This window comes from Homo sapiens, chromosome 7, assembly GCF_000001405.40.
Source record: "Homo sapiens chromosome 7, GRCh38.p14 Primary Assembly".
Lineage (NCBI taxonomy): Eukaryota > Metazoa > Chordata > Mammalia > Primates > Hominidae > Homo > Homo sapiens.
Genome location: NC_000007.14, coordinates 3,622,715 through 3,647,798, shown reverse-complemented (window position 1 = coordinate 3,647,798; position 25,084 = coordinate 3,622,715). Strand labels below are relative to the sequence as shown.

The 25,084-nt window shown below is 40.0% G+C and overlaps 1 protein-coding gene across 1 annotated transcript in view; it reads right to left on the bottom strand.

Moving 5' to 3' along the window:
- SDK1 (sidekick cell adhesion molecule 1) overlaps nt 1–25,084 on the bottom strand; it is a 967,749-nt gene that overhangs the window by 621,202 nt on the left and 321,463 nt on the right. The window contains exons 3-4 of the mRNA NM_152744.4: nt 8,689–8,795; nt 5,694–5,841 (exon numbers count right to left, since the gene is read on the bottom strand). Coding sequence (NP_689957.3) covers nt 5,694–5,841; nt 8,689–8,795 — 255 coding nt within the window. The remainder of the gene's footprint in view (nt 1–5,693; nt 5,842–8,688; nt 8,796–25,084) is intronic.

The window sequence follows — 25,084 nt, the reverse complement described above, 5'->3', positions numbered from 1 at the left end:
CTCCTATGCATACCAAGAGGCCAAATGTAGGTAGAAAAACAAAAACATTTTAGGTGGTCAAAACCACCTAAAACTGGCCGGGCACGGTGGTCTGTAATCCCAGCACTTTGGGAGGCAGAGGCGGGTGGATTGCCTGAAGTCAGGAGTTCGAGACCAGCCTGGGCAACATGGTGAAACAAAGTCTCCAATAAAAATACAAAAAAAAATAGCCAGGCATAGTGGCGCACGCCTGTAATCCCAGGTGCTCTGGAGGCTGAAGCACGAAAATCATTTGAGCCCTGGAGTTGGAGGTTGCAGTGAGCTGAGATCATGCCACTTCAACTTCACTCCAGCATGGGAGACAGAGCAAGACTGTCTCCAACTTTCAAAACAGAAAAGAGCTTGATGTATTTGCTAAACTGCAAGAGACTCTGGCCCTGTAGCCCCAGAATGTGGGAAGGAATCTGGATTTTAATCTGTACACAGTGGGAAGTCTTTGGAAGACGTTATTTTTTGTTTTGGAAAAAAAAAGACAATTAAAATCGTGGTAAAATATAATTTAAAAAATAGAGAGAGGGTCTCACTTTACCATCCAGGCTAGACTGCTATAGCGTGATCACAGCTCACTGCAGCTTCAAGCTACTGGGCTCAAGCCATCCTCCTGCTTTGGCCTCCCAGAGCGCTGGGAGTACAGGTGTGAGCCACCATCCGTGGCCTAAGATTAATTATTTTAACCACTTTTAAGTATAGTTAGTGGCATTAAGTGCATTCACACTGTTGTGCGATCATCACCATCATCCATCTTCAGCACATCTTTCCATCTTGTGAAACTCTGTACCCATTAAACATAACTCCCCACTCCCTCCTTCCCCCAAGTCCCTGGCAACCAATGTTCTGCTTTCTGTCTCTATGAATTTGACTACTCTAATTATCTTGTGTGAGTGGAATCATAAGGTATTTAACCTTTTCCACCTATTTTTAATTAAACATAGTATCTGAGATAATTGTAGATTGTCTCTACTTTCAAAACATACCAGCCTCTGACACTTTTCAACCCCTCTATGCAAACCCAGGTTAATCCATGTCTTTTCAAGTTGAAAGCTGGTCTTCTAAATGATGAGAAAGACTAGAGCAATGTATGGAAAAAATAATCAAAAACATAAAAAATTATCAGCCAATAAAGTGGAAAGAATCAGGCTGATCCAGAAGTGAGCATGAGACTGAGTGTCAGGCAGACCCGGGTGTGAACCCTGGCTCTGTGTGTATTGGCTGGGGGCCCTGGGGTAAGTAATTTAACATCCATAATCTTCCATTCTGATAACTATACATAGAGCTAATTATACCTGCCTCAGAAGGCAATTGTGAGGATTAGAGAAGATATGTTTAAAGTAGGTACTCAATAAATAATAGCTCCTGTTAAGATTATTAATAGGATATTCAACTTATTTTTCAAGTTAGAAAACATTAGACTTACTGTTTCCCTTGAAAATGAAAAAAAAAATCATTTAATTATAAGCCTAAAGCCCACATTTTAAAGGCAGATAATGAGGTAATGTTTAAACATGGAGGTGGGGAGAGAAAATGAACTGCTTTCACCACATGACAAAGGTGCACGTATTAGGGAACCAAACTCACACAAGGAGGTTAAAAATAGGTGCAGAAAGGCTGGGTGTGGTGGCTCACGCCTATAATCCCAGCACTCTGGGAGGCCGAGGTGGGTGGATCACAAGGTCAGGAGTTCGAGACCAGCCTGGCCAGCATGGTGAAACCCCATCTCTACTAAAAAGACAAAAATCAGCTGGGCATAGTGGGGTGCGCCTGTAATCTCAGCTACTCAGGAGGCTGAGGTAGGAACATCGCTTGACCTCGGGAGGCAGAGGTTGCAGTGAGCCTAGATTGGGCCACTGCACTCCAGCCTGGGCAACAGAACAAGACTCCATCTCAAAAAATAAAAATAAAAAAAAAATAGGTGCAGAAACTTCACCTGCATTTCAATATGTGGGAAGCACCTTGAGTCAAATGCTCTAGTTTTTAAATGGCATCTCTGTGGGTATATAACAAATATGATGCCATCTGACTTGTGCTACCAATCCCGTGGGTGCGAGGAATGCAGAGATACCCTCCCATCTTCAGTCAAAAACTGTACTTTCTTAGACATGGAAAGCAATATATTGGGTTTTCGCATCTAGATTTTTTAATTTTTAAACAGGTAAACTTTTTATTAGTGCATAATAGATGTACATAGTTTCAGGGTACATGTGATCATTTAATATTCATATAATTTGTAAAGATCAAATCAGTGTACTTGGGATGTGAAAGCTATATGTCTTTGGACGATGTATAAATTTGTGGAGAAAAACACATATCCATACTGATTTATGTAATCTTGCACAGCAGGTACTTAATAGACTTGGGGTGATGATGAGGTGGAAAATACGAAACTAAAGGGCCTTGTAAAAGTGTAAATATCCATAATCAGCCTCATCTCATCTCTTTAAAAAATGGTATACTGCATTATTTTCCTGAGATTAGAGATTTACCAACAGCTTCATGCTTGTAAGCAGACCATTTGTTTGATATTACACCAAGTTAAAGCCCTTCTAGCATCTTTACTTTATTAGCTCACCAGGAATTAAACAGGCTTTAGCATGTATTTGCAAGTTTAAAAAATTTATGAAATTAAGTTCTTTCATTCTATACCCTGTCATACTCGTGAATAAGTGCTGTCTCATGCATATAGTGAGAACACAGGTTAACAGGTAGATTAATACAGACTTATTTGCTGCTAAGTTGAAAGAATTCTTCCACCATGAATTTTGCTGCCACTGACGTTAATTAAAAGCTCCAGTGCTTGAGAGGAAAGCCTAATTCAATCTAACTCCCCCCATCCCTGGTACCAATTCTCCCCCAACATTTATCCTAAGTTTGCCTGGTCATACTGTGGTCAGCACTGGAAACTTCTAGAATATTTATACAAGAATGTATCTTGCCTGCCACCCCCTGCCCCGCCGTTGTTGTTGTTTTTTGTTTTTTTTTTTTTTTTTTTGGAGACAGGGTCTTGCTCTGTCACCCAGGCTGGAGTACAGTGGCACCATCGTAGCTCACTGCAACCTCCAACTTCTGGCCTCAAGCTATCTTCCTACCTCAGCCTCCCAAGTAGCAAATAGCTAGAAATACAGGTTCGTGCCACCACACCCAGCTATTTTTTTTTAATTTTCAGTAGAGATAAGGTTTCAGTATGTTGCCCAGGCTGTTTTTAAACTCCAGATTGCTTTAAACTCAAGCAATCAGCATCCTAAAGTGCCGAGATTACAGGAACAAGCCACCGCAAATGGCCCTTACCTGCCTTTTTAAAGCCTAACAGTCTACTAAGAATGAAAAATTGATCCTTCATTTTTGTTTCATCGAAACTCGAGGCATCTTTTATTATTGGAATCAATATAAAGGTGGATACCTAAGTAACTTGTAATTAAATAAAGAAAAAAGGATAGCAATTATCCCATCTTCTAAGGTAACTGGTATTTTTACTAGAATTTTAAAATATGCTGCATGCATATATATATATATATATATATAAATTTTTGTTCCCAATAACCAAAATAGAAACATTTGTGAAATAAGCTTAAGTGGTGGCTCATGCCTGTAATCCCAGCACTTTGGGAGGCCGAGGCAGGTGGATCATTTGAGGTAAGGACTTCGAGACTAGCCTGGACACATGGTAAAACCTCACCTCTGCTAAAAACACAAAAATTAGCCGGGGATGGTGACACACACCTGCAGTCCCAGCTACTCAGGAGGCTGAGGCAGGAGAATCGCTTGAACCTGGGAGGGAAAGGTTGCAGTGAGCTGAGATCACGCCACTGTACCTCAGCCTGGGTGACAGAGGGACTCTGTCTCAAAATAATAATTATTAATTATAAGTATTATATAATTATTAATAGTAATAATAATAATTATTATTATTTAGGTTCCAGCCAGATCCTGGTCCAGAACTAGAAGACTGGAGACATGGGGCTTAGGGAAAGGATTCCACAGATGCTCAGGTGGGGGTGGGAGAGGAGAATCACCAGGTTTAGGGAAGGAATTCCACAGATGCTCAGGTAGGGGTGGGAGATGAGAATCATGAGGTTTAGGGAAGGGATTCCACAGATGCTCAGGTGGGGATGGGAGAAGAGAATCAGGAGGCTTAGGGAAGGGATTCCACAGATGCTCAGGTGGGGGTGGGAGAGGAGAATCACCAGGTTTAGGGAAGGGACTCCACAGATGCTCAGGTGGGGGTGGAGACAAGAATCACGAGGTTTACGGAAGGAATTCCACAGTTGCTCAGGTGGGAGTGGGAGAGGAGAATCACCAGGTTTAGGGGAAGGATTCCACAGATGCTCAGGTGGGGGTAGGAGACGAGAATCAACAGCTTTAGGGAAGGGATTCCACAGATGCTCAGGTGGGGGTGGGAGACGAGAATCACCAGGTTTAGGGAAAGGATTCCACAGATGCTCAGGTAGGGGTGGGAGATGAGAATCACGAGGTTTAGGGAAAGGATTCCACAGATGTTCAGGTAGATGAGAATCATGAGGTTTAGGGAAGGGATTCCACAGATGCTCAGGTAGGGGTGGGAGACAAGAATCATGAGCCTTCAGGAAGGGATTCCACAGATGCTCAGGTAGGGGTGGAGAGGAGAATCATGAGATTTAGCGAAAGGATTCCACAGATGCTCAGGTAGGGTTGGAGATGAGAATCACAAGGCTTCGGGAAGGGATTCCACAGATGCTCAGGTAGGGGAGAGAGCAGGTGGGTTCCCACAGTGACTTTCACAGTTAGATGTAAAATCTATTTGGCAAATGACCTCACACATATTCTTTTTGAAAAAGCACAACAATAGTATTTGCTCCTGATGAATTTTTATCTGAGTGCAACCACTGGATGGCATAAATATCTGACTTCTGGCCTAAGCTTATAGCATTTCATGATTCTTCTGGAAATGTTCAGCCTTGAAACCTTTATGTTTGGAATATTGTCTTTAAATTAGGTTGTAAAATGTCCAGTTATGAAATATATACCAAGTGTTCTTTTTAATCACTTAAAGCTCCAAGTGAAGAAAACCTGTCGGGCATTAGATAAATATCTTGAATGTGAGATAAGCATTATTTCAAGATGTTCTTGCCTAACTAATCACAAAGCAACTATTCTGCAATAGATGGGTGAACCACTAATTAGATGAAGAGAAATAAAACTGTCATGGTAGGATAAAAGGATAAAGAGAAATAAGCAGTAATTACTGTTTTATCGTCAGAGAAAGCAGTATCAAACATGGCTCAATAAAAGGAGGGGGAAAAAAAACCCCACAGCACTGTAAGTAAATACCAGCACTCATTAAATTAGTACTAGGAGGCAAACCCAACTCAGGGATGACAATGACATCTTAAAAAGTACACTCAGAAAAGAAAAAAATGGACTGCAAAGTTGGGTAAGGCTGCTTTAGTTTTAGGGCATGCAACATTCTGAAGAATAATATTAGACAGTTATTTGCTTAAACTGGTTAAAAATATTCAAGCCAGTCCTCAAATAGCTGTTTATTAAAAATTAGGATAGGACTCCTAGACTAGTTTGCTCTTTTTAAATCATCGGTAACCTTAATTGGTACACTTACTGTGTAGATGGTGCCAGCAAGTGACATTACAATTGTATTTGAAGCTTTAACGTTTGGAGCAACTTACATTCTGTTGCTTGGAATAATCTTGTGCCCTTCTCTAAACCAAGTCACTTGAGGTCTGGGGTAGCTGGTGATGGGCAGCAGGTTTAGAATCGCTGCACGTCCTTGAGAAACTGTTTTCCTCTGGTCCGTATCCATGAAACTTCCCATATCTGCAGAGAAAAAGAAGTGCTTTCAAGTTCTAGAAAACATTTTTGGGGGAGGGAAGGGGTCACAGATGGAAACAGGTAAGTGTTACAGTAAAGTCACTGATGCTGCCACATTTCACACCAGGACGAGCGAGACTGCACGGCAGCGCTGACCAACGCGGATCTGCTTGCGAGTGAAGCACCGGGCAAGCCACGCGCCTCCAAAGCGCCCACGCTGCACATTCCTCAGCAAAGCCACATGGTCTTTGTCCTACCTGACAATACAAGGAAATGTCTGCAACTGTCTGTGACACTGAAATGAAATGCTGAAGCCATCCTAGAGCCACGTGAAGCAGTTTTCTCAGAAACTGTCAGAAAATGTGTCCAGACATCTCCTAGCTCCTAAATCTTTCAAACTCGTTCCAGCCCGGCACCGGCCCTTGCTCTCTTCAGCTTGTTTCCTTCATTTGTGAGGTCACTGTCTCCTGCACAGATCTTTTGGGAGCAATATTTCCTAACCACTGAAGAGTCTATATACTATTCTCCCACTCTCATACTGTTGACTTAATCTGGGGCAACTAGCTTTTGTTCCAGTATTTGTTCTACTGATAAAAAAAATTTAAAAAATGGGGTCATAGGACAAAACATAGCTATTAGAATGTAGGTATAAAAGGCTAATTTTAAAATTTGTAACATTTGAAAATTTTGAATAAGATTCCATATTATGGTCAGATGTAAATATATATACAAACAGATATGGCAAAATAGTGTATTTTTATTTAAACATAAATAAGTTTGAAATAGTCCACAGAAGTGCTCTATTATCAATGTCTTCTTCAGTCAAAAGACATTTTCTATGTGACAGTGTCTAATACTTGAGGGAAAAGATGAAACAAACCAACAAAACAGATTAGAAAAATACTCATAGTTTTTTCAAAAGAAAATGAAATTTGTTATCAAAGCAAAGGAGAAAAGAAAGATTAAAAAAAAAAAATCTAAACGCAGAGCACAGTGGCTCACACCTGTCATCCCAGCACTTTGGGAGGCCGAGGCGGGTGGATCACGAGGTCAGGAATTTGACACCAGCCTGGCCAACATGGTGAAGCCCGATCTCTACCAAAAATACAAAAATTAGCTGGGTGTGGTGGTGGGTGCCTGTAATCCCAGCTGCTCAGGAGGCTGAAGCAGGAGAATCACTTGAACCTAGGAGGCGGAGGTTGCGGTGAGTCAAGATTGTGCCACTGCACTCCAGCCTGGGTGACAGAGCCAGACTCCGTCTCAAAAAAGAAAAAAAAAAATTGAAGAGCTAGAGATACAGAACAGAAACAAAAACATAATTAAGCAAAATTCAGTTTTATAAAACAGAGTTTAATAATTTTGAAGCTCTTCTTAAAATATAATTTAGGTATTCGTCTTCACTCTATTTAATGATTACATTTTCAATCATTCAATTGAATAAAAGTTCTCAATTATTCTGCAACATTCTTCGGCATCACAATTTAGAAAAATTTAAGCCTTCCTAGTGATTTTAAAAAGCATCAAACATGTATAGCATCTCCACTTCACTCAGTCATTAGGCTTATGGTAAAATAACTAGATATTATTTTATTTCATCTACTCACACTGAAAGCTACAAGACTTAATTGGGGTTAAAATGACAAATGAGGAAATTCTGTCATCACCAAATAGTACAGCCCAACTCAGGAGCTCTTTTGTTCTCTAAAGTTTATAATGATATATTAAAATGTAATTTAACATCTTATAACATTTTTTTGCTTACTTTTAAACAAAGAGAAATTTTGGTAATACATTCAAAATATAGTAAAACAAGCCAAGCTCACTCTTGTAATCCCAGCACTTTGGAAGGCTGGATGGAGCAGGAGGATCACTTGAGGCCAGGCATTAGAGACCAACCTGGGCAATGCAGTGCGATCCCTCCCCTACCAAAAACAAAAGAAATTAGCCAGATTAGCCAGGCATGGTGGCACACACCTGTGGTCCTAGCTACTCGGGAGGCTGAGGAGGGAGGATCACTTGAGCCCAGTTCAAGCTTGCAGTGAGCTATGTTTGTGCCACTGCACTCCAGCCTGAGAGACAGAGATAGACCCTATCTCAAACATATATTTATTTATATATATAACATATATATGACATATAATTATATATGTTATGTCTCTATTATATATACACATATGTACATAAAATAAAGCAGACAGTCCATTTTTACTCTTCATAGATTTTGAATTAGAAAAAGGACTAAATACTTTCATAGGCCAAGTTCGCTCTCCTGTTTCTCCTCAAGACTACATGAAAATTTAAGCTTCCTGCATTCTTGATATCTCCTTTGTTTACTTTTAAAAGTTTCGTTCTCCAAAATGGATCTGCTGAATAAAGAATTAATAAATCACTATCACATGAATGCCATCGGGGACGCTCACTATCCATGTACCTTTTGTGGTGCAGCATGATTTCTAAACAAATCGTCACTGGAAAGAACTGACAATGACGAACTTTGACCTAATTGGGTTGAACTTTATACTTTAAAAACATTTTGAATCCAAACATAGTACAAGCTAAGAGCAGCTGATTCCTAAAACAGAAGGCACCCCATTCACTTTTTCGTCCTCCCCAGGGCCTCTTAGGGTCCTGAGTCTTTTCAAATGAAGAAAAGTGCCCTTTGCCTCAACAGCCCCTCACCTGGCCAGCCACGCTGGCTGCTTACTTATCTCTCACTGAGTTTTGCAATTATTCTACTCAAAATAGAACCAAAGATAAACTCTCAGTTCCTACAATGGTGAAAAGTGATTCTGATTGACTCCCCAGCGACACTTTGTTCTTTAACATTTGGACATCTCCTTACTGTACACATACATGCGACTTGAACTTCTGATTTTCTTTGCAGGAGTGCTCCCATTCTGTTTCGCACCACGCAGCGGTAAAACCCAGCATCGAGCTTCTGCAAAGATGGAATAATGTACCTGTTGAATAGCAAAAAGAAGTGTTAATGCTTATATCCAGTGTTTCATGGTTATATCTAACCATCAGATGCTATTTTATCAAACAGCACTGGCATCTCATCTAGTATATGCTCAACAAATATTTTATTTTTGGTAACCTAGTATCTGTGCAATCCTTCCCTAACCATGACACTAACTAGAACCACCATTTATTTCTTTTTTTTTTTAAATTTTATTATTATTATACTTTAAGTTTTAGGGTACATGTGCACAACGTGCAGGTTAGTTACATATGTATACATGTGCCATGCTGGTGTGCTGCACCCATTAACTCGTCATTTAGCATTAGGTATATCTCCTAATGCTATCCCTCCCCCCTCCCCCCACCCCACAACAGGCCCCGGTGTGTGATGTTTCCCTTCCTGTGTCCATGTTTTCTCACTGTTCAATTCCCACCTATGAGTGAGAACATGCGGTGTTTGGTTTTTTGTCCTTGTGTTAGTTTGCTGAGAATGATGGTTTCCAGCTTCATCCATGTCCCTACAAAGGACATGAACTCATCATTTTTTATGGCTGCATAGTATTCCATGGTGTATATGTGCCACATTTTCTTAGTCCACTCTATCACTGTGGGACATTTGGGTTGGTTCCAAGTCTTTGCTATTGTGAATAGTGCCACAATAAACATACGTGTGCACGTGTCTTTATAGCAGCATGATTTATAATCCTTTGGGTATATACCCAGTAATGGGATGGCTGGGTCAAATGGTATTTCTTTATTTCTGAGATTATCGCACTGATACCTGTCTCCCCAACTGGGCTTTAAATATCACCCAAAGCTAGGATCTACTTCTGTCTTATTCATCACTGTAACCATGGTATCTAGCACAGTGCCATGCACACAGGAGATATAACTCACAACTGGTTGAATGAGAAAGGTTATATAATTAAAAGTCACTGCATTTAAACTAGCCCTCTCAATCAAAAATCGTTTATAATTCTCTCTCTGTAGAACATCAGAATTTCCAAAGATTCCTAGAACTGGCAACAGTCTTAACACGATGTCTTGTGTCACTCCACAGGAAGAGGCAAACAACACTTTCAGGATGAGATACAGAACTCGTCAAGGCAGAGAAAGCAATGCCATCAGGGCGTCTCTCTCCAGTCACCAATGTGGACATCTCTCAGCACAATGTATTCACTTCCTTTCCTTACTTCTCCACGTATTCCCTGATGTTAACTTTAAAAACTTTTTCAGAGGTTAAAAAGTCATTTCCTTTGGATTTTCCACTTCTGTAACTGTAAGTAATCATCCTTCAAATCCATGCCTGTCTAAATTTTTTAGTACAATTTCAAAGGAAAAAAATAATTAAAAGATACAGTTTCTATAAAAGCCTTGCCTTAGGTTTACTGCTGGTTTTGTAAATTAGGATGTTTTAAAATCCACCAGCAAGTAAAGATAGGTAACCAACCGCCACTCGAAATGCGTCTTACAACTCCGGAGCCCACAACTTCTAAGCTGCCCAAGATGGTAGAGTAATTGAGTTCTCAGCCACGTTCACAGACAAATTAAGAGTAAGGTGTGAGCAAACTATATAGCTAAGAGCTAATATCCAAAATACAGGAGAGGCCAGACGTGGTGGCTCTTGCCTGTAATCCCAGCAATTTGGGAGGCCGAGGCAGGCAGATCACTTGAGGCCAGGAGTTTGACACCAGCTTAGCCAACATGGTGAAACCCAGTCTGTACTAAAAATACAAAAATTAGCAGGTGTGGTGGCACACGCCTGTAATCCCAGCTACCTGGGGGGCTGAAACAGGAGAATCACTTGAACTCGGGAGGCGGAGGTTGCAGTGAACTAAGATTGCACCACTGCACTCCAGCCTGGGTGACAGAGCAAGACACTCTCTCAAAACACACACACACACACACACACACACGCGCGCACGCACTCTCTCTCTCTCTCTCTCTCTGCATCAGGAAAAAAAAGCTTAAAAAAACAACTTAATTTTAATAAGGCAAAGATACTAGACAGACATTTCTCCAAAGCCACAGAAATGGTCAACAGGTATATGAAAAAGAGCTCAATGTCCCTAATCATCAGGGAAATGCAAACCCAAACCATAATGAGATGTCATCTTACTCCTGTTAGGATGGCTACTATCGAAAAATGAAAAACACATGTTGCTGACAACGTGGAGAAAAAGGAACTACTGTACATGGGAATGTAAGTTGGTGTAGCCACTATGGAAAAATTGTTTCTTACAAAATTACACACACAATGACCACATGACCCCCAAATCCCACTTCTGAGTATATTTCCCAAGAACTGAAAGAAGAATCTCAGATGTCTGCCCTCCCACGTCTACTGCAGCATTATCCACAATTAGCCAAGAGATGGAAACAACCCAGGAGTCTGCTGAGGAATGGCGAAAGAAAAGGTGGTGTATACACACGATGGAATATTATTCAGTCTTAAAAAGAAGGAAATCCTGGCATTTGCTACATAGCATGACGTCATGCAGGTTCATCTAAGTGAAGTAAACCAGACACAGAAGAACAAATCCTACCTGATACCACTTATAAGAGGAATGTAAAATAGTCCAGTTCATAGAAGCAGAGTGTGAAATGGTGGCCACTAGTGGGTACAGGGGAGGGGAAGCGGGGAGGAATCCAAGGGCAGGAAGTTTCAGCCATATGAGATGAGTGAGTCCTGCAGAGCTTCTGTGCAGCATAGCATTTACAGGAATCATACTGTATCACATATTTTAAAGTTTACTAAGAGGGTAAGTTTTATGTGTTTTTATCACACAAAAATAATAATGAAGAGGGCAGGAGGAAACTTCTGGAGGTGATGGAGAGATTTATGCCACATATAGTGGTGAAAGTTTCATGGGCGTATAATTATCTCCCAACTCATCAAGCTGTATACATTAGATATGTACAGCTTTTTCTATGTTGATCGTATTAAAAAATAAAAATGAATATATGCACATTGCAGTTGAATAAGGTACATCATATTTGAACAAAAAACAAAAGAGTAAGACATGAGGATTGGATGCTTTTCACATATGGGAAGGTGTCTACCGTAAGAAAGAAAAGGAACCAGCCTGGGCAATATGGCAGAACCGTCTCTCTACAAAAAATACAAAAATTAGCCAAGTGTGGTGGTGTGAGCCTGTAATCCCAGCCACTTAGGGGCTGAGGTGGGAAGATCACCTGACCCCGGGAGGTGGAGGTTGCAGTGAGCCAAAATCGTGCCACTGCACTCCAGCCTGGGTGACAGAGCCAGATCCTGTCTCAAGAAAAAAGAAAAGAAAAGGAGCTCAAATAGGAAAAGACTATTTTCCAAAAAGGGGAGAAGAAAACAGAGTGACGGTACACTTTACCCACCCAAAAAGATGTTCCAGTAATACTTGTCCACAATTTAAAAGTATTTCCTTTTACAAAGTATAACCAGAGAAACTTTTTCAAAATCGAGTAAAAGACAAAGTGTATGCTACGCTGTATTTGCTCAGTTCCCAAGCATATCTTGAATCACTTATATTCAACTAATTGCTCATGTTTTTATTCAAGTATGCACAATTAGGCAACCTGAAAAAGGAACTGATAGGCATAATTTTAAGCGACTAAAACATTTGGACAACACAGGTAATTCAAGATTAAACAAAAATTAATCAAACTATGTTTTCCCCTCTGATAATCTTCTTGAGCTCCTAGGGAAGGATTAATAAAATCTTTTATAAAGAGAAAAAATATTGTTGAGTTTTAATCTTAAAATTTTTATTCTTTTATGTGGAATGGTTCATCTAAAACAAAATTAATTATTGAATACAATCACAATAATGTCAAATTGAATGCAAAGAGCCAATGCCATTTATTTAAATTACAAATCCAGACCAGGAGTATGTGCGGCTTTGATTATTACATGCTGTGATTACAACAGAGGGGAGCTGTGAGATTAGCTTAAAACAAAGTCAACAAAAGTTTTTGGGAAGAAATAGCACAAGTAATTGCAGTATGTATTTGAAACATTACAAAGACAGTTTTATCACTGCAACATAACCATATTTATATGATTGCTCATTCTACTTTTTCCTGTTTTTCAATACCTAAATAGGTCTTAAATTCTTATGAATTTCTATAGTAATCCTCCGTACTAACGCCCAAAAATAGAACTGCTTTCAAACAAGAAGCAGAAATAGAGACAAAATTGAATATTAAGCATATGCTGTTTTGTACCATCTCTTTAGTCTAATGTCTCACCAAGGAAAAAATATGAAGAAAGTTGCAAAGTCCTCCACCTATTATGGGAATTCCTACACAAATTATGTTCACCTAACAGATGGGAATATTCATTGTAAGTCTATTGTTTATAAACACACATTTTTAAGCAGGCAAAGTTTCCTGGCTCTTTATAAGAAAGTATGATAAAATCTTAGCACCATATGCCACTAAAGTATAGAAAATGCCTGTTCCTATTTCAAATCAACACAGCAGGGAATGTTTGCATTCACTCTATCAAGGCAGAATTCTACTCAACTAACACAGTGTTTTCCAGGACCAGTTCATTATCAGGAATGGCAAAGAAAATAAAACACAAAATCCAAACAAAAACCAAAGGCTTAAATGTCCATTTCTGCTAATAGGAGAAAGCCTCAGTTGTGACCTGCATCTCTGAGTGGACCACTGGACCAACCCTAGAATTTCTTTATGAGGCAGCATCGGGTCCATCTCAGCCCAGGAACAACTGCTGGGACTAGTCATCTGACATTTTCAGTCTACCTAGGATCTGAACCACTTCCCTGTATTTGGAGAATCTGCCACCCTATGAGCTTTTGTGGAGATGGGGCTTATCTCAAATTAAAGGCTGAAAAGACCACATCTGGATATTCCCAGACCACTCACCTGCCTCTACAGGTACCAGCTCTGAGACACAGCATGGCCAATTAGACACATTTGCTCTGGATTTTTAAATCTGGGGTTGGTGATGCCCAGGAAGAGGGCTAAAGGAGAACTCATCTGACAGCAGCGGTGGTGGGGGCACAGTGGAGCCCTAGTCCAGGGGAGTAGGGGAGTGTCCAGTGCCAACTAGGGCAGTGGCTCAAGCAGTGATGGCCAGTATTTGGTGGGGCCAGCAGCAGGACCCTCAGAGGACCAGTTCCAGAGTGACTGTGGCTCACTCTGTTCCTGCCCAATCTCCAGGCTGATTCTAAGGGCACCCCAATATCCATCCATGCAACAGCTCACACAAGAGAAAGTTGGTTTCTGTGGTTTTAGAACCCTTCAAAATTCCACACCCTAGAACATAGCCAAAATAATTTTGGCTGAAATATATTCTAAAGTTACTAGGTGCTCACCACGGTCATAGCAAAACCTAAATAATATATCGTAGAATCATTTCTTTTTTTATGAAAAAAGAAAAAATAAACAAAAAAACATGGCTCTTGGTAAACCACTAAAAATCATGGGAAGATAAAGAATCCCCTTAAACTGGGACACATTTACCTGTTATAAGAAGTTCTCTTGAGTATGAGCCACTAAAATTTTAGAAAACATCTAACAAAATACTATTTTAGAATACTGTTCAGCAGTCCTTTCCAAGCACTGCCAGATGATATGACCGAATCTACCTGTTACAGGCCAAAACCACAGCGTCAGTGCAGAGGAGAACATTTATACTTCCCCTAGGTGGTCAGGGAACTTAATTTGATTCATAAGAAAAAAATCTGCATATTTGTTAAAATTAGATGTAAGATTTTTCTCTTTCAGTGGTGGGGGGACTGTCAATATCCATTTTATGTCACTTTAGATAAGACTATTCTCCACAACTTTAATTTTTATGCTGGTATGAAAATATCTATTTTCCATGAAAATAAGCAACCAAGTTCTATAATAAGCTTTCATACCTTGGACCAAAGCCTATTCTTATCCTTAAAATGAAAAAAAAATATGGGTTAAGGTAAAAATAACTGTAAGCCATTTATGTCCTTCTTGGAAATACATCAATTCTCTTTTTGGAATGGCATGATAAATAATTGTTTTCAATTTTATTTTTGTAAGTTTTCTACATGAAATTTAAAAAATCCAAAGTGGGATGAGTCTATAGCAGGTTTTCTCCTAAAGCAAAATAATGAAATGAAAAACCCAGACTGTGCCATAACAAGCTGTCTCAGAAAAACACAAGGACAATTCAAACTGAAATTTGTTAAGAGAGAGATATATATGTGACTTTGATGGTGTATACAGCTCACTAATAGGCCCTAGGCATCAGGCAAGCTGAGGTTATGTTTTTAGTTCTTTCAAAACAATTGAAGTAATCAATATGAAGTTAAATTAAACAGTATGGTAACGATGGAAGCTATACAAAGGGAACACAATATTTGTAAAAGTTATTTAATCTGTGTATTATTTATTTCAAAATTCATATTAACTTGAGAAGGGCAATAAACAGGTCCCTGTGTGGGAGGGTCTATGGAATCTGTAGCACTGGTTTTGGGAATATAAATCTGGTGAATGAATATAAGCTCTCCTGGTATCAATTAGATGTTAATCTTCGATAACTTTTTATTGATGCCATACCATGAATGACTACATTTAAACTTTATCTTCATTAATAGTTATGAAAGCCAATCCAAAGACCTAAGAATTAATGTTGAAATGTTCCCAAGACTCCTCCTCTGGGATTCCCGTTTATGTGATTTTCTCTAAAATAAACAATGCTTTGGGGATTATGCATTCGTCATTCATTCCTACTTTTCCTTATTAAATCAGGGGCAGAAAATGTGCAATCCATATTTAGTGAAGCACAGATGACTAGAACCGTCTGTCAAATCTACTGTGAGCATTAATTGCTCTCTCAAGTCGGTAAAAAAGGAATTTCAGAAAACCTTCAGGAAAGAGGACATTGCCTTTTCTTAGGGATAAAAATCTTTTATTGCATGTCTGTTGACTTAATTCTTTATAATGCCAGGTTCTCTATGAACATAAAAGTTGGGGACCATTATATCAAGGATTAAAGTATGAAGGCAAATGTTAGTTTCTACATAATCAAAAAAATCCATTCCAACGCATAATGGAAAAAAGACCTAAACCACTCTATTAAACATTATAAGCATAAGCAAATTAAAAATATAAATTTTAAAAGCTCCCACTTGTCTCACTCGGGAGTATTTGTCAACAATGAATTATGTTACAGAGTAGTTTGGTCAATTCTGGCAAGGTCTTCACTTAGCTTCCACAATGATCCCTAAACAAAGAACCAATAATTATCTAAATCCAAATCATTTACCAATGAGAACCTTAAAAAGCCTAATGCTAATTCTGCCTCAGAGATTCTCCATAAACATTCATATCTGTTATGACCATACAGAGTTCCAAAAAGCAGTCAAACTGAAGCCAGAAATACAAAAACACTCAACTTTGTGGGGAGAATATGAACATGAGGTCACACCGCATTAATATTATGGATCTAAATTAAATAAGATAGCACCTGCTGTCCTTGCTGTTGAAAGCTAGGCAATTCATAGAGGACAGGAGCAAAGAGGAGTTAACTAGAAAAAGAGAGCTGACATAAACCAAGTTTAGGAAAATGAAAGCTGAACATCAAGATGGACAACTAGAGAAATTAAGCCCTTTTCACGAAGATGTAGATGGGAGTTACACACAATTAGGTTGGGTGATGAGGAAACCAACTGAGAAAAGAGTTCTCAATTAAATATAATAGACTTTCTTCTTGGTGAGTACAGAGAGAGCTCAATAGATTAAAAGAAAATAAAACAGAAAGCATTAGAAGCTGAGTGTGGTGGCTCACATCTGTAATCCCAGCACTTTGGGAGGCCAAGGTGGGTGGATCGCTTGAGCCCAGAAGTTCGAGACCAGCCTGGGCAACATGGTGAAACCCTGTCTGTATTAAAAATACAAAAATTAACCAGGCGTGGCAGCATGTGCCTGTAGTCCCAAGCTACTTGGGAGGCTGAGATGGGGGGATCACTTGAGCTGGGGTGGCAGAAGCTGGAGTGAACCATTGCACCACTGCACTCCAACCTGGGCAACAAAGTGACACCCTGTCTCCAAAAACAAAAAAAAATCTTGTAGAGAAATCTTCCCCACAGCTTAGTGATGAATTTTAGATTTTAGTTATGTAATTTGTCTCAGGGTCTCGGGCCTAAAGAATATCACCAAGGGATAAGTTTGGAAAAAATGGATCTGTTAATAATACTAAGCCTTCAGATATATAAACACAGTGTATCTGCCCATTGATTTAGGTCTTCTTTTTCTTCTCTCTTTCAGCATTGTTTTGTAGTTTTCAGTGTAAAGACCTTACAGACCCTGTGTCAGATTTATCCTTACTTCAGATTTTTTTGTACTATCTTAAATTTTTTTCTTCTTGAGATGGAGTCTTGCTCTGTCACCCAAGCTGGAGGGCAATGGCACAATCTCGGCTCACTGCAATCTCTGCCTCCTGGGTTCAAGGGATTCTCCTGCCTCAACCTCCCAACTAACTGGGATTATAGGCATGCACCACCATGCCCATCCTACCTTAAATTTTTAAATATGTAATTTTCAGATTTGTTTGCTAGTACACAGAAATATAATTAATTCTTATATGTTGATCTTCTATCTTGTAATGTTGCTAAACTCACTTATCAGCAGCTTTTTAAAAGTATATATTTTCTACATAAATGATCATGTAACTTGAAAATACAGTTTTACTTCTTTCTTTACAATCTGGATGCCTTTTATTTCTTTTTCTTGCCTTATTGCACTGGCTGGTAACTCCAGTAATTGGGATTTGCAAATTTGAAAAAATTATTTCTTCAAATATTTTTCCTCTGACTGCCTCCTTGGGGGATTCCAACTACACATCTATTAGGCCATCTGAAGCTTTCCCACAACTCATTTGTGCCCTTTTCATTATGTTTGATTTTTTTTCTATCTGCCTTTTATTTTGGATAGTTCTATCACTATAGCTTTATTAATATCTTCTTCTGTGATGTCTAGTTTCCTGATGGTCCCATCCAATGTTTATCTCACACATTATAGTTTTCATCCTTATAAGTTAGATTTCTGCCTTTTTTGTGTTTTTCGTGTCTCTACTTTGATCATATGCAATACAGTTATAACTGTTTCATTATCTTTCTCTGTTAACTCTAATAACTGTGTCAGTTCTGGCTTGGTTTCAATCAACTGATTTCTCTCCTGATTATGGGTCATGCTTTCCTGCATCTGCATATGCTTGATGATCTTTGATTAGATTCTAGACACTGTGAATTTTCCCTTGTTGGGTACTGGAAATTTTTGCATTCCTATAAATATTCATTAACTTTGTTCTCTGATACTGTGAAGATATTGAGCAACAGTTTGATCCTTTTGGATCTTGCTTTTCAAGACTTGTTAGGCAGAACCAGAGCAGTATTTGGTCTAGGGCTAATCATTCTCCTGACCCAAGACACCTCTGTGCAGGCTATCTGATAAACTCATGAATATGAGGTTTTACGATTTGGCTGGTGAGAACAGACACTCCGCCGAGTCCTGTGTAAGCACAGGGAACTATTGCCTCTAATCTTCTTGGATAGTCCTTTCCCTTGCCTGGGGTAGTTTTCTCACATGAATGTGCTGACGAATATTCTGCCAAATATTAAAGGGGGACCCTCTGGAGGATTCCAGCATTCTTTCTCTGTGTAGTGCTTTTTTCTTTTTTTTCTTTTTTTTCTTTTTTTTTTTGAGACTGAGAATTGTACTGTCTCCCAGGCTGGAGTGCAGTGGCGAGATCTCAGCTCACTGCAAGCTCTGCCTCCTGGGTTCACACCATTCTCCTGCCTCAGCCTCCCGAGTAGATGGGACTACAGGCGCCCGCCACCATGCCCGGCTAATTTTTTTTTTTTTTTGCATTTTTAGTAGAGACGGGGTTTCACCATGTTAGCCAGGATGGTCTCAATCACCTGACCTCGTGATCTGCCCGTCTCCGCCTCCCAAAGTGCTGGGATTATAGGTGTGAGCCACTGCGCTTGGCCTGTAGTGCTCTCTTATCCAGTACCCTGCCCTAAGAAATCTAGCTGCCTTGATCTTTCCAAACTCTCAGCTCTCTTCAACTCAGAAGGTCCTCTAGGTTCTGCCTGGGTTTTCCTTCTCTGTGCCACAGCCTAGAAATCCCCTCAAGGCAGTAAGCAGAGGGCAAACATAGGGCTCACCTTGTTTGTCTTCCATCTCTCAGCGATCACAATCTTTCACTGCCTGATATCCAATGTCTTGAAAACAACTGTTCATATTTTTGTCCAGTTTTACAGTTGTTTCAAATGAGGCAGTAAATCAGATCCCAGTTACTTTATCTTGACCCAGGTTGCCAGTTTTTAGGGAGACAAAGAGGAAGACAGGACTCAGCCATAGAATTAGACAATAGTTCTAGAAGCTGCCCTTTCACATAAGCCACGTATCCCAGCATATAGAATGTTGCCAGAGATATCTGTTGTGGATAAGGATGTTGTGGGGAGTCTCTAGTAGCCCCAAAGAAGAGTCAAACATGCATCCATAAGGTCCTGGAATAAGATCATGCCTTCTGCAGAAGGGAACTACATACACTGATGTCCTTAGGACAAACTGAAGTCCTGACCCCATAGGTATTAAGAAAATATGCCAGCCTGGGAACACAGTGAGATCCCATCTCTACAAAATATATATATTTTGTATATACATATATATATACTCTAGCCTAAGCAACAGAGCAAGATTCTATCTTGAAAGAAAGAAAATATGCAACTGGAGATAAGCATTATGAGGGAATTATTAACAGAACTATGTAGCCACAAGAGTAAGACTACTGTCTCAGTTATACACAGGCCTCACCAATTGATAGAACAGTTAAACACTCAGGCCTGGGATTATACATGAGTCAACTTGATCCGGAAAATGAAGATGTCACACTATGGCCTTACTCATGCGTGGCCAAAGGGAGCGCAGTTAAGGAAGAGCCTTCCAAGCAGACGGAGCTGCAAGTAGTACCTTTGGTCCTTAACTTTGAATAGGGAGAGATTTGAGAAAGAAATGGCTTGAGAATGGATATAAAGAGACACTTGGGCAGTAACAAATGGCTTGGCTGATGGGAAAGAGGCCTGGGAGAAACAGGACTGGAAATTCAGAAACAAGAAAGTCATATGTAAATAGCCCAATGGGGGTGGGTGTAATATGTGGATTTTTTATATCACTAGAGAGCATCCACTTCAGATAAGGCACTCATCGATCAGTTGAAGAGGATGACTCAACTGTGGGTGTCATTTAGATTTCTTCTCAACTAATAAAATGGGACATCAATCGGTCATGTTGGCAAGGACTGAGGCTATGAATGAATCCAAAAGCAACAGCTCCTCCTCACCAAAGCTAATCTAGCTTTTGCCAATGCCAGATGCCAAACGTGGCAACGGCAGAGACTGATGCTGAGCCCTCAGTGCGACACAATTCTTCAAGCTGGCCACTTGGGACTGGATGCTTATATTTGACCTTTCTACCACGGAAACATGCAGTGACTCTTCCTAATCAAACTCAGGATCTCCTCTGGATATGGATCTGCCTTCTCTGCTCATTGACTAGGCCAGCACCGCAATCTGGAAGCATGAATACCTCCTATACACGTGGCAGCCTGCACAGAATTGTCCCAGATCAGGGACTCATTGTACTTATTGAAGGAGGTATGAAAACAGGCACTTTCCCCAGAGGATCCGGTAGTCCTAGTAGCTATTACATCACCTGGAAGTAGCCACACTAATAGGATAATAGGATTCGGAACAATGCCTGGTAGTGTTGGCTGGACATGGCAGCTCACGCCTGTAATCTCAGCACTTGGGGAGGACAAGCTGGGTGAATCATTTGAGCCCAGGAGTTTGAGACGAGCCTCGGCAACATAGTGAAACCCTGTGTCTACAGAAAAATAAAAGAATTAGCTGGGCATGGTGGTGTGTGCCTGTACCCCTAGCTACGTGGGAAGCTGAGGTGGGAGTATGAACTGAGCCCGGGAGGTCGAGGCTGCAATGAACTATGACTGTGCCACTGTACTCCAGCGTGGGCAACAAAGCAAGACCCCGTCTCAAAATAAAAAAAAAAAAATTGTTGAACCTGAGGTCAAGATATGATTGGCCCCTATTCTGGCCATCTATTTGTTTTTTTCCCAACTTTAGGCTCTTTTGGATTACAGATCTGAGTTCTCAGTGGGGGAGATTTCCTATAGAAGAAAAAGGGACCCAGAGAATTTGACTCTAATTCATCCTACTCACTTTGTGAACTTCATGCCAGTGGGCTGGTGAAAAAGAAAGGCGTTACTACACTGATGGAGGTAAATGACTCTAATCACTCTAAGACACTAGGGCTGGTGCCACACAGCAGAGGTGAGGAGGAGAGAAGTCAATGGGGTATCTCTTAGTACTCGCAAGACCAGTTGTAATTAGAGAATCCATGGCCCTACAAAGGCAAGGCAACTAAAAGGTGAGATGAGGGCCTGGGCCACCCAGCACCAAGCAAATTCGACTAGCTGAAGAGCAGGCTGAGAGTTATGCATACCTAAAATGGGCAGGAGAACATAAATACCAATTATAGCCTTGAGACTTGGTCCAGTAAGAAAAATAGCTTGTTCTACTAACTCTCTTGAATAAAGTCCTTGTTAGAAACTATAGCTGACTATCTTCTTAGAAGGGACTCTTTCATGAATTAGACTTAACAGCAGGTACAAGTTACACTGAGGGGTTCAAGGAATAGACTCAATTTTGTCCTCTTACTCTCTATTTTAAAAATCCTTTCGGTCTGGAAGTGGTGGCTCACACCTGTAACCTCAGCACTTTGGGAGACCAAGGCAGGAGGACTGCTTGAGACCAGGAGTTCAAGACTAGGCTGGGCAACATAGCAAGACCCTGTGTCTAAAAAAAAAAAAATAGCTAGTTGTGGTGGCACCCATTTGTGATCCCAGCTACTAGGGAGGCTGGTGCAGAAGGATCACTTCAGTCTAGGAGTTCCAGGCTGCAATGAGCTATGATTACACTACTACAGTCCAGCCTGGGTGACAGAGTGAGACCCTCTCCCTCAAAAAAAAAAAAAAAAAGAAAGAAAAGAAAGAAAGAAAAATCCTTCTGGCTCTACCTTTTACTTGAGCTGCTGCTGTGGTCAACACTTCCAGGCAGCCCTGAGTAGCTTTATGGTGGCGCAGCTGGCATCACTTTGCCTCAACCCATGCCTCCTATTTCTTGCTTCCTGTCCTGGGGATTCTCTGGCACCACAGCCAGCAGGTTTAGCTGCTTACCAATGCTTGAGCTAATTAGAAATGAAGGCTAATAACCATGGGACCCATATTTATCAGCCAAGTACAGGAGCTGATAAATAATTTCCTCTTTCACCCATTAGAGTGGGCACTTCTGAGATGCATTTCATAAGACTCCATAGACGTTGCAAACAAGATTGAGCTCCAGCCACTTAGAGTGACTGCCAACTTGATAAGGGATCCCTGCACTGGTGCTTCCTTCCTCCCTGCTTCATTCCCCTGCCTTTACACCTGCTTCCTGGGATGACATTCACAAACAAAGAAGGAGAGCCAAGCTTTGTCTCCACCACTGTCATCAGGAGATCCCAAGTTATTAGAGACAGAACTGTCTGATTTGTTGCAAATATTGTCCCAGTTTGTTGCTTACCTTTTAACTTATAAGATTAAGCAAATGGGCAATTAAAAATTTTGTATCTTTTATACAAAACTTGTAAATATTTGTAAATTTATCTGTGATCGGTTTCTGATGAAGTTTCTCAATGCTTTTGTACTTTCTCCTGGTATAATCTGAGATCATTCAAATATTCCCTTTGTTTATGTTTCCATTTTTTTATATTTAATTGTTCATTGTATCTAAAATTTATTTTGATGTTTAATGAGGATCTATTTTGAATGTTTGCAAAAAGTTGTTTTTAGCATTGGTTTGAGAACTCATTTGAATATATATATAATTTAATTTTTATTTTTGAGACAGAGTTTTGCTCTTGTTGCCCAGGCTGGAGTGCAATGGCATGATCTTGGCTTACTGCAACCTCCGCCTCCCGGGTTCAAGGGATTCTCCTGCCTCCCGAGTAGCTGGGATTACAGGCATGCACCACGACAACCAGCTAATTTTGTATTTTTAGTAGAGATGGGGTTTCTCCATGTTGGTCAGGCTGGTCTCAAACTCCTGACCTCAGGTGATGCGCCTCCCTCGGCCTCCCAAAGTGCTGGGATTACAGGTGTGAGCCACCATGCCTGGCCTTGATCATATATTTTTTATAAATATAATGGTCTGGTTCAAAATGCTCCTCTGGCATATTGTTTAATTTTATACTATTAACATGTTACTTATTATGGCATTCTAATATGCCTTGGGTTTTAGAAAAAAAAGTTCCTCCCCATTATTCACTTAATGTTGTGAAAATTTGTTGGTATTCTTCTGTTTACATTTCTAGATGAGCTTTAGAAAAACTTCATCAGTTACTTCCCCAGAAAATCCCATTGGCATTTTTTATTAAAATATCCAGGCCAGGTGTGGTGGCTTACACCTGTAATCCCAGTACTTTGGGAGGTCAAGGCTGGCAGATCACTTGAGGCCAGGAGTTTGAGACCAGCCTAGGCAACACAGTGCAACCCCATCTGCACAAAAAATAGAAAACTTAGCCAGGTGTGCTGGTGGGTCCCATGGTCCCAGCTACTTGAGAGGCTGAGGCAGGAGGACTGCTTGAGCCCAGGAGGCTGAATCTGAAGTAAGCCATGATCAGGCCACTTGCACTCCAGCCTGGGCAACAGAGTGAGACCCTATCTCAGCAAAATAAAATCAGCTATTGATATTAGCTTTCTGAAAAGTTCTACTGATGTTAGGCTAAAATTCTATGATGGCTTCAAAGGAACTGTAATTTTTATAGCAAGTGGGTTTCCTACATAAGTATCATCTTTTATATCTCATTACGCACTTTCCACGTGGGTTCTACTCATTTCTTATAAAACTTATTCCCAGGTATTTCATAATTTTTATTGATACTGTGAAATGTTTGCCTTTTTATAAAACAAAAGAAAAAAATAACCTTTCCCTTAACCATTCTTATTTTCCCTGGAATAAAGCAAGAATAAACATCCATCAAATTTCTATTTTTATATTGTCATAGAAATTGAACCACAGAGGCAGGTTACATAAGAAAACTATAAAATTTTTAGGAGTTTAGAGTATACAATTATTCCTTCTGTTACAATAATAAATATTGTGCCTAGCATTAAGAAATTCTCGGCTTAGGTGTATGTATATGTTGAATATAATTAGAAAAGATTTTTTCATTCCAAAGTAGAAAATAATTTAGACTAAATGCTTTCTGGAAAGAATACAAATCCACCTAAGATATCTATGCAAACTTAGTTTAATTGCTGAATTACCGTCAACTTGCTAATGTAGTCACCTGTGCCACCAAAATGTAGACATGAGCATCAATATGAAATGTAACATTTGAGGCCGGGTGCAGCGGCTCACACCTGTAATCCCAGCACTTTGGGAGGCTGAGACAGGCAGATCACTTGAGGTCAGGAGTGTGAGACCAGCCTGGCCATCATGGTGAAACCCCTTCTCTACTAATAATAAAAAAATTAGCCAGGCGTGGTGACACATGCCTGTAGTCCCAGCTACGCAGGAGGCTGACAATCGCTTGAGACCAGGAGACGAAGGTTGCAGTGAGCCGAGATCGCTCCACTGCACATCAGCCTGGGCAACAGAGTGAGATTCCACATCAAAAAAAAAAAAAAAAAAAAGAAATACAACACTTGAAATTCACTGTGCAGTGTGTAACGCACACAGCAAAGAAAATGTTATTTTAAGTCAAAGCTAGAAAAAGTAAATGTGTAGTATTTGCTCTTTACAGGGTTAGCATTTTCATAACTGACACCAAAGTGGGGAAAAATAAGGGTCCTGTTAAGGTGGGAAACAACTACCTTTTTCATAAAGTATCCATGTTTTTTTCATTTGAAACTTACAAAGGTCTCATGAAGGCTAACATATGATAAATGAACATGCTTACTGGAAGGAAGTAGATGAAAGAGTAATTTGAAAAAATAGTATGAGATTTTTAGACAGGTTTTATATCATGGGGAAAAAAAAAAGCAAGCTATGATAGATTCCTGATAACCCATCTAAGTGTCTGAGGCCCTCGTGGAACATAATATAATTTATCACAAATACCCCAAACAATTCTTGCTTCAGAATCACCCATTCCTCCTTACGTTTCCCATGTCATAGTAGTGAAGCACATAGCTTATTTTAATAGTCCACATATAACGAGTCAC